We start from the raw sequence: 10592 nt of genomic DNA, 5'->3' as shown, positions 1-10592 counted from the left end.
CTCAGGGGCTGCCTGAGGGTTTTCCTCGGGGTAACTCATGGACAGACTCAGGAGATCTTGTCCCTCGGGTGGCAGCCGAAAAGGAGGGTTTCAGGTGAGGTGGCATCCTGTGAAAGGAAGTTCTAGCGCGCCCCTTCAGCCTCACAGCGCCGTGTGGGCCTGAACCTTGGGAAGGCACTTTCTTCATTGCTTCACGAGGGCCTGGGACTTTAGCCTCACCCTTTCTCAATCCTATGAAGAAATAAGCACACAAGAAATCCAAACACTGCCATTCCAGGTTGTTTTCTTTGTATGAATGAATACCCTGTCACCCAGACATCAGCTCTACAGCTCAGGGATGTGTTCAGAGCCCGGGTAGGAAGAGTTCAGCAGGAGGGAGGGAGGGGCAAGGCTGGGAGGAACCCAGACTCCCTGGCCTCCAACCAGCTTGACTGAAGGCGGGGGCAGGGCTGACTGCAGACCTTGCTCAGGCTTCTGGGGTCTCAGTGCCCTAAGGCTGATGATCACAACCCAGTCCTCAGCCTCACAAGCACATCCCACTTGCCAATCCCACCCCACCTCGGTCACCCTCCTGCCAGGACCACCCACCGTTCCTTAGGTTTGTCCTGAATTGGACGCTTTATTAATTGCTGGCACACACCCCCCATGATCTCCACATCCTGGTCCTGTGCGATCATAGATCCACAACAAACTGTTCCATGGAGCAAGCTAGAAACCCCCAAATTCCTGAACTTTCACCGTAAAGAACTCCATTAAACTATAAGTAACCACTGCAAACACAACTACCATTTATTACTTGATGTTGATGCACGCGGGTCAGGCCCTGTATCATGCATTTTGAAAACATTACAATATTCTGTTTAAGAAAATATTCTATCCCCATTTTGCAGATGAGGAAACTAAGGCTTGAAGATGTTAAGTGATGATTCCCAGATCACACAGCTATTTTGAGGCAGAGTCAAGATTGGTACCAGATCATATCAACAGTGAAATACAGGAAATCTTGGTAAGTGTCTACTTTGACTTTTATTTTTATAGATTCTGCCTATTAAGTCAACTGCATTGTTATGCAATAACTGGTTTTCATAGTTGTATTAAATACCTGCATCCACTCAGAGCTTCTGATCAGATTGAGACAGCCTTATTGCTGGCTGCCATTCCAACCAAAGTGACTACACTCAGGACAAGGTGTGATTTATTTCAAAGTTTAAATCACTGATATAGATCAGCAATAGAGTATATTTTCATCAATATTAGATTGATTTAATTTTTTTAAGGATGATATGAAATAGCAGCCATACTTCAGAATCCTAATAGTGTATGTTTAATGAGCACTTACACACTTGCTACTTTTCTGAGTGCTTTGCATGACTTTGAAATTTAATCTTCATACCAACCTATAACATAGGTACCATAAGTATTCCCATTTCATAGATTAGGATACTGAGACACAGAGAGATTTAACAATGTGTCCAAAGTCAAGAAGCCAGGACATGACAACAGTGATATTAAACCCACACAGCCATGTCACAAGCCAGAGATTTTCATTAAAAATAATGTTACTGTGGGGACTTTAATTCCTTCCTGAAATTGAGAATTCTATTCTATTGTGTCCCATATTCTCCAGGAGGGAAAATTATAATTGCAAGAGTTATAACTGTGCAACAGCTATGACCTATTTCAACTTTAGCAGGGCTCCTACAAACTAAGCTGATGTAAATTATAGCAGAGGGCCCTTGGTGGCAGAATCTTTGGTGGCCACTGGCCTATGGCATACCCATGCTGGGGTCACAAAGGTTGTGGTCTGATCTCACTCAGAGACATATGCTTTCCTAAGATATGACAACATCATAATTAGAAGAACTGCATGATCCTTTAACTGCAGTGACATCCCCTCTCAAATCATGACCTAATCATGGACATGGGAGCGATCAAGGTGGAAGTAAAGTGAACTAGAAGATTGAGCGACTATGTGCTGTGATCCATGCCCTTTTCTCGATGATCTAGTGTAAATTTCAAAATGGCCACCACCAGCCTCCTCTGTGTGCTCTGCCAAGCTCAGAAATCTTATATTTTCCAAATTATGTACCAGCCAGAAGCCATTCAAGGTTAAAGGTCTACAGTGCTATGGAATGAATTAATAAGAGCCCATTTACTGTTTCTGCTTCCAGTTTGAAGAGAAATTTCTGGAATCTGCAAAAGATTTGGAAAAGTTAAGAAATAGTAAGATCAAGTCTCTAAGTGCCTCTGAGGAGGGTATCTAGTAGAAGGTACACAGGGAGGTTTGAACAGCCAGCAATGCTTACATGTGTGTAGGGTTGTAGTTGGTGATGGTGGAGAGGGAGAAAATCATAAAATGGAAAGGATGGGCTCCTAGAGCAGGTCTGGCAACTCTTTCCAGGCTAAAAAGGGCCAGACTTCTCTTTGTATTTGCTGGAGAACCATCTCCAGCACTCTGAGGATCCCTTTTCTTGCTTTCCTGCTTTTGGCACCATGAGTGAGCTGTGGTCATCAACTCAGGATCTCATATAGCCCACCCCATCCAAAGACACGCAAGGACATGTTTTAGACAAAAGGAGTTGAAATAGGTCCATTTTGAATTGTTTCTATTATAAGTTTGACAAGGTGATATCTTTGCAATATTGTCTGCTTAGATAATGAGACAGTGTTGACTTGGTTGGAAGTCCAGGTCACAGGGTGAGGAGGGACATGAGCCAGGGTAGAAGCCATGGGGTAAGAAACACAGAGCCTGCCCTGCACACACTGTCTAATGGGGGTATTGAAGGGCACACAAAGAGCCTACATAGAAGCTTCTCTCAGAACTGTGTTTAATGTCTTCAACAGCATGAGACTTACTTTGAGAAATTCCCATGTTAAATGGCATCTGGCTGGTGACCTGTTGCAGTCTCTCCCAACTTCTTCCTAAGATATCATGAAAATAAATCAACACAGACAATACAAGCGACCTATTCTGTAGCTGGATGGGAAATAAAAACATAAATGAAGTAACAGTATAAAAAGTAAAAGAACGCTTGATAAGAAAAAGCACTTCCAGAAGCTAAAAATAAGTTCCTATTTCATTTGAACAGTTGCCAGGCAATTTTTTTTTCATTTTATACATTTAGTCATTTCCACAACCACTTTTTCATCCTGAAAGGGTGGGATTCATAGAAATTTCACTCTGCCTTTTTTTTTTTTTCTATTTTCTAAAGATGGGAGTTTGTTCTTCCAGCAAGTGCCAATGGTTGAGATTGACGGGATGAAGCTGATGCAGACCAGAGCCATTCTCAACTACATTGCCAGCAAATACAACCTGTGTGGGAAAGACATAAAGGAGAGAGCCCCATATAGTATATTTTTTGTTCTTCCATCAACAGAGAACACAGAGTGATTTCGGTCCTTCTGTGAGTGGGCAGGACCGTGGAAGGAGCATCACGACTAGCAGCAGGCTGGGCCTTGGGCATATACGCTGGTGTCCAGTATTGCAGAGTCCCATGGAGATGAGAAAAGAGTGAATATGGGGAGGGTTCAGGCAAGTGTGATTCTAGAAGACAATGCAGCCTATGGATCCAGCACCCTGACAAAGGTTTCCAAACGCTGATGAACCATGAACTCAGGAGGATGGGGAATCATGATTCCAGGTGCTCGGGACTTCAGAGGCTGGACTCCAGCCAACAGCTTAGGACAAGGCATAGAATGTTTGAGAGTCGGTAGATGAAGGCCTGGGGAGAGAATGCTGCAAAGGAGCTGAATCTCAGGTTCCAGTAATTCCAAGAATGGTGACCAGGAACCTAAGTTTCCAGCCAGTTGTATGAACTGGTCCACTTGACTAAGGTTTGAGAGGCTGGTGCCCAAGATACCAGGATTACCTAAAGTGCAGCATTTGATACAGACCTAAGCAGCCAGACTGATTTTGCATCAGCAAAGCTGGGAGGAGGGGTCTCCTCCTTTGCTGGCAGTTCCTTGAGAAGTCCAATATAGAGTTACCAATGACCTAGCAATTCCACTACCAGGTCTACATCCAGGAGAAAGGAAAACACATCCTCACTAATCCATGCACAGAAATGTTCATAGGAGAATTATTCATGCTATGCAAAAGGTGGAAACAACCCAAATGTCCACCCATGGATGAATGGAGGAACAAGTTGTGCTGTAGCAGACAATGGAATATTCTTGGGCTATGAAAAGGGATGAAGTACTGATGCATGCTACAACATGGGTGAGCCTTGAAAACATGTTCCATAAAAGAAACCAGACACCAAAGGCCACATGTAACATGAATTCTTTTGTATGAACCATCCAGACCATTTGAGTCCAGAAAGGAAATCAGTTGTTGACAGGGGCTGGAGAAAGGGGACAATGGGGAATGGCTGCCAAAGCATGTGCTACTGCTTTCCCAGGTGATAAAAATGTTCTGGAATTAGACAGTGACAGTATTTGCAGAATTCTGTAAATGTACTAAAAATTACTGAATAATATTCTGTTAAGGGGTGGCAATTATAGTATGTGAATACATGTCAATAAAGCTGTTATTTAAAAGTATTCGCCAGGTATGGTGGCTCACGCCTGTAATCCCAGCACTTTGGGAGGCCGAGGCAGGCAGATCACCTGAGGTCGGGAGTTCAAGATCAGCCTGGCCAACATGGCAAAACCCCATCTCTACTCAAAATACAAAAATCAGCCAGGCGTAGTGGCAGGTGTCTGTAATCCCAGTTACTCGGGAGGCTGAGGCAGGAGAATCGTTTGAATACAGGAGGCGGAGGTTGCAGTGAGCCAGGATTGTACCACTGCACTGCAGCCTGGGTGACAGAGCAAGACTCTGTCTCAAAGAAAAATAAAATACAGGGCCAGGCACAGTGGCTCATGCCTGTAATCCCAGCACTTTGGGAGGCTGAGGTGGGTGGATCACGAGTTCAAGAGATCAAGACCCTCCTGGCCATCATGGTGAAACCCAGTCCCTACTAAAAGTACAAAAATTAGCCGGGGGTGGTGGCGTGCACCTAAGGTCCCAGCTACTCAGGAGGCTGAGGCAGGAGAATCACCTGAACCCAGGAAGCAGAGGTTGCAGTGAGCTGAGATTGCCCCCACTGCACTCCAGCCTGGTGACAGAGCGAGGCTCTGTCTCAAAAAAAACAAACAAACAAATAAACAAAATAAATAAATAAATAAAAGTTTTGTAGGAAACACAGTTTGAAATGAGAAGAAAGAAGATGTCCTATGCTATGCACTGGTTTTAACTATATGAATAATTTTACCATGTTTACCAATTTTACTATGTAAACAATTTTCCCACATTACCATGGGAATATTAGGTGAGGTCTTGAAACACAATCATGACTAGAATTGGACAACATCATATGGAAAAGGTAATGGAACAATGTTTTATGGAAAATAATTGAGAGAGCTTCTTTTTTTTTTGTTTTTTGAAAATTAGTAGCTTGCTTGAAAAAATATATTTTTTAGGGGTATCTTTTAAAGACATACCTTATTTCCTAGTTTTTCCTTTATTAATTTTATTTTTTTCTTTTTTAAGAACTTCTAATATTGGGCATAAAAGTGAGCCTGGGATTTGTAGTATGATGAGAGAGGAAAACAGACACGTTCGAGATCACTGTGCTGGGGAGGCTGTCTTGGGATTATGTAAATGGCAGGGCTTATGTGTAAAACAAACCACAGCAGAGTGAGCAAACCCTATTTGTAGCATCAGTGGTTACTTGCAGTGATTCCACTAATTTCTCTCATGACTGTGACGCTGGACAGGTCACCGATGTTTCTTGTACCTGTATTTGGTCATGTGTATAACAAACATTTTAGATATAAATCTATCACAGTAGAGTGTTCTGAGAAATAAATGTAAATATATTTATAAAAATCATAGCCTAATGACTAGCATATAAAAGGCACGCAGTGGAGCTGAATTACTTTCCTGTCACCTAATGCTTCACGGTCTCAAGTGTTTAAACATAAAATCTAAGGCAGAAGGCACTCAGCAGTTTGGTTATTTTTGTCTTACGGGGTCGAAATGTATACAGAAGGTAGGGCAGGTTTGAGTGAAAAGCTTCTTCATTGCTCATTGCATCCACCTGAGGAAAAAGATGCAAAGCTTGCCCTGATCAGAGGGAACAACAAGCCATTATTTTCCTGTCTTTGAAACTGTACCTGGGAGCTTCTGGATAGCTGAACACGTGGAGCTTCTTGGAGGGTGGCCTGTCCAGGGAAGGCATGGAAGGTCCATGCCCCTTCCCCAGATCTCGCCCTAGGCATTTCTTCAGCTTTTTAGTGGCTACATGATTTAAGCCTCAAAACTACAATAGAGAATTATTCAGTCAGATATATGGATTACCACCTAACAAGGATAAAGTAAATCTAAAGTCACAGTCAATACTCTGCCTCAAGTGGAAACTGTGATGTTTCTGTCTGGCACTGCCAAGTTTGCAGAACAACAAGAACCAAAAATCAAGAGAGAAGAACTTCATTCGGTTTTAGGGGTGACCCACAGCAAAGTGTGACAAATGGAAAGAGGTCCAGTGAGAACCTCAAACTTAATGTACTGTGAGGCTATCTTGAAAAACAGGCTCCTGGGCCTCTGCTCTTATGCTGCTTCTTTTATGACAAATAACACCTTTAGATCGCACGACAAAAAAAAGTAACACGAAAGACTACAAAAGAAATGAAAAGAAAGTCCTGATTCTACAAAGGATGCTAAGCAGATGAGAACCAATACCAAAACCAAGGACCAACCTGAGAATAAAAAGTGAAAGAGTTCAATGCAAAGAGAAAAGAGTTCAGCCCAGGTGCTGACTTGCCACAAGGCACAAGGAGCCTTTGTGGATACAGCACCTGGTTGACGGATGGGGTCCATGGCAACGGGCAACATAGACCATGTCTTGTTGCAACTTCCAGAAAAACTGTGGAAGTGAAGACAGTCCAAATGAGAATAAGCAAAAGGTGTTTATACAGAGCTTGCTATAGAAAGGAAGTCAGCCGCCATCTTTTGCATTTATCAGAGATTCAGAGGTAGGCAGGAAAGTCTGAGAGATTCATGGTAGAAAAAGTTATGTCCTGATTGCTGGCCTAGGGATGCTGTAAGCTGGCTAACTAGAAGTGTGGATTTCTATGGGATTAGTCAGAGATCCATATTTTGCTTTCTGTGGTTGGTCATAAATTGAAAATAGAGGCAAAAATTAGGGAAGCTGGCAGTTATTGGCCAATGCTGGTGTATTTGACTGTTGTAAGGGTCATGATAGAAGCTGTTTAGTCTATAAGGGCACTAAGAGTTTAGAGGGTTTCTTAGCAGTTTGGCTGCAATAACAAAATACCATAGACTGGGTAGCTTAAAGAACAGATGTTTCTATCTCACAGCTCTGCAGGCTGGGAAGTACAAGATCAATGTGCCAGCAGATTTCACATCTAGGGAGCACCTGTTCCTTGGATCATAGACAGCCAATCTCTGGCTATGTCCTCACATGGCAAACATGCCAAGGGAGTTCTCTGAGAACCCTTTTATAAGGGGACTAATGTCATTCATGAAAGCTCCACCCCCATGACTTGATCATCTCCTGAAACCCCCACCTACTAATGGCTTGAAAGAATATATTTTTTAGGGATCTCTTCTAAAGATTTGGGGGTCAGGATCTCAACATATGAATTTTTGGGAAACATAAACATTCAGTCCATAACACAAGGCAACAGAAAAATAAAATAGTACCTGTGTATTTTTGGGGCATTGACCTTCACTTCCAAGAAGCTTTCCTTGATGTTAATGGAGCACCTGACTCCCAAGGCATGGTATAAAAATAGACTGTGAATAAGAATTCTACGAGTTCTACCAAATAGCCTGTGATATGTGCATTTGAACAATGTATATTACAATATAGCATTGAAGTTGTTTTGTTTGTGTACCAAGTCATTATCCATACGTTTGTATGTATACATAGTCTGAAAATGTATTGTCAAACTATTATCTTAAATCAGTGTTGCCATATGTTTTCTCTTTTTATTATTTATGATGTCAATGTGCTGAGATATTTTAATAAATATCATATATCACTCAAAAACTTTATTATTAAAAATGTATAGATCTGGTGTAGTCCAAAGAAATGTTTTATGAACATATATACACCAAGGATCTAAAGAGCAAAGTTAACCTTTTATCTTTGATTTATCACGTGTCAGTCACTCCACCCCTGTTTGCCTCACTCAAACACATTATTATTATTATTATTATTATTATTATTATTATTATTATTGTGCATTTCAAAGTAAGTTGCAGACATCTTTGCAGTTCACCCTGGGACACAGTGGCATGCAGATTATAACATAGTCAAAGCAGTAAGAACCACCATTGCAAGAAAGAGGATGAATTAAAGTTCACCCAGGCTTATTTCAGATCCCAGAGCAGGAAATGAGGAGGGCAGATGAGGAGAAATGAGGATTCTGAAATAGTCTACTCGTGGGAGAAGAGTGCTGTCATGAAGGTGGAGTCGCTGCCCAAGAGAGACTGGAGAGAGAGTGTGTAGAGCCACTGAACATCAGGGCTGCACACTGTAGGGCCTGGGGCAGACAGGACATGCTGCAGCAGGGGAAAAGCCCCTGGCCCATGTGGAAGATGCAAGCTGGGTGGGTGCTGTGGATGCCATAGTGATGTGGAATGAGAGGAGAAAATGGGAGCCTGGGCTCCAAACAAGGAGTAAGCAGAGCCACACTTCTTACTCTCTCACTGAATCAGGTAACATGGAGAAAGATCTGGATCTTTGCACCTGCCCAGTAAGGAAGCAGAGGTGGGAGAGGGAGAGTCAGCCTGGACAAACTCAGGGAGAAGCAGAGGCCCCAGCCTCACTGCACATGTGTTCCTGATCTGTTTCCTCTGATTCTCCAGGTGTTGAAGAGCCATGGACAAGACTACCTCGTTGGCCACAAGCTGAGCCGGGCTGACATTCACCTGGTCAAACTTCTCTACCACGTGGAAGAGCTTGACACCAGCCTCATCTCCAACTTCCCTCTGCTGAAGGTGACCCATTTCCCAGTCCTCAAGAGGCAGCTCCTCATCTCCCATCTTGGGATCTAGTATCTGGGTCCTTGAACTGGCCACATTCTGACCTCAGCCTTCTCCAGGTCTTCAGGGCCCCCCAGGTCTCCAAAATGAGCTTCCAGGTCCTGATTCTGAGGCATGGAAATGCCTTCTTGTTATGCCAAGGAAATTACATGTGCATGCTACCCCAAGAATATTTCGCTTTTTATAATGCCAAGGACCCAGGACTCAGCATCTCTCCTCATCCCTTTATTTCACTGTGGTTTCTGTTCCTGAGTTCTCTGTGATGCCCTTTATCCCAATATGCCCTTATCTTCCCACACCAAGTGTGTCTGAGCAGGGCCCTTTCCATCTGGTTCCTTCCTTATGCTCTGGCTCTTGCTGTCAGATAACTGAGTTCCTTGTGCACAGCTCTCCCAACACGCTGCCCCTGAAAGCTATATCTCTCTATGGGAAAAAGTGGTCCCATGGTTTGACTTTAACATTTTCTATTTTCATTTCTAGCTCAATTTTCCCATATCTTCACTTCTTCTGCTTAGAGACTGATCTGTGCTATCTCACAGGCACATTGTTCTTTCTCATCTTCTACAAGAGCCATGAATCTACAAGATTCATGTGTAAGGAAGAGGGTAGGAAGACTGAACTGAATAAAGTCTTAAAGACATTTTTTGGGAAAATGCTAGTGAGCTGCATGTTCTTCCTCTTATCTTCATTTCTCACGTAGTGTCTCTTTCTGCCTCCCTACTGGTGCTGATAGAGGGAACTTAGTTGGTCTTTGTGTAGGAGGGGCGCAGATTCCCTGGGTTGTGTTAATGGTGGTGTTAGCCCTTGGCTTCACTCTGAGGCTGTGCTTTGTGCATTGCGGGCCCTGAAAATCAGAATCAGCAAACTCCCCACAGTGAAGAAGTTTTTGCAGCCTGGCAGCCTGAGGGAGCTTCCCATAAATGCGAAAGGTTTAGAAGAAGCAACAAAGATTTTCAAGGTTTGATAAAACAGGCATGGATGCCAAGAACATGCAATACCAATATTCTAAAGTTTTGCAACAATAAATTGCTTTATCTAAATGTTGGTTGTGGCTATTGTGAAGTTAATAAACTTTTTAAAAATTATGTGCTAATTACATAGTAAAATGCCTATGACCAGATTTAGTTAAAATTGATTTCTTTTCATTAGTATCTGATATGAAATCAGATTTCCAAACTCCCCATAAATTTTCTTGGAATTAAAAATTTAGTAAAAAAGTAAAATGTAGACTATGTGGTTTGTTTGACTTTTTCAAGAATTGTCCTGCAACATTTGTCAAATGGCCTATCAGAAAGTCATGTATAGAAATTTACTTCTGACATTCTGCACAAGAAAACAGTTATCATTCTGGGGAATGGCAAAATGAAATTTTCTTTTTTCCTTGACATCCATTTTATTTCTCATGAAAACACTTTTTCTTATGCATTTTCAAACAACCTTTCTGTCTGCTATGGATCCCTCAGTTTTGTAAGGGGTGAGGAAATATTGAAGAGCAAACAGACCCACCCTCTGCTCTCAGGCCAACTTGTCATCCCTT

General features: G+C 42.5%; 1 pseudogene, besides 1 other annotated feature; it reads left to right on the top strand.

Moving 5' to 3' along the window:
• Positions 1–50: an enhancer, noted in NCBI's record as "active region_24690". NCBI's record gives its function as "activates an Ori minimal core promoter by ATAC-STARR-seq in GM12878 lymphoblastoid cells {active_cell/tissue: GM12878}" and the evidence as "EXISTENCE:reporter gene assay evidence [ECO:0000049][PMID:35858748]".
• GSTA6P (glutathione S-transferase alpha 6, pseudogene) lies at positions 2170–10186 on the top strand (annotated as a pseudogene).

Source organism: Homo sapiens, chromosome 6 (assembly GCF_000001405.40).
Source record: "Homo sapiens chromosome 6, GRCh38.p14 Primary Assembly".
Classification (NCBI taxonomy): Eukaryota; Metazoa; Chordata; class Mammalia; order Primates; family Hominidae; genus Homo; species Homo sapiens.
This window is presented reverse-complemented; position numbering and strand designations above follow the sequence as displayed.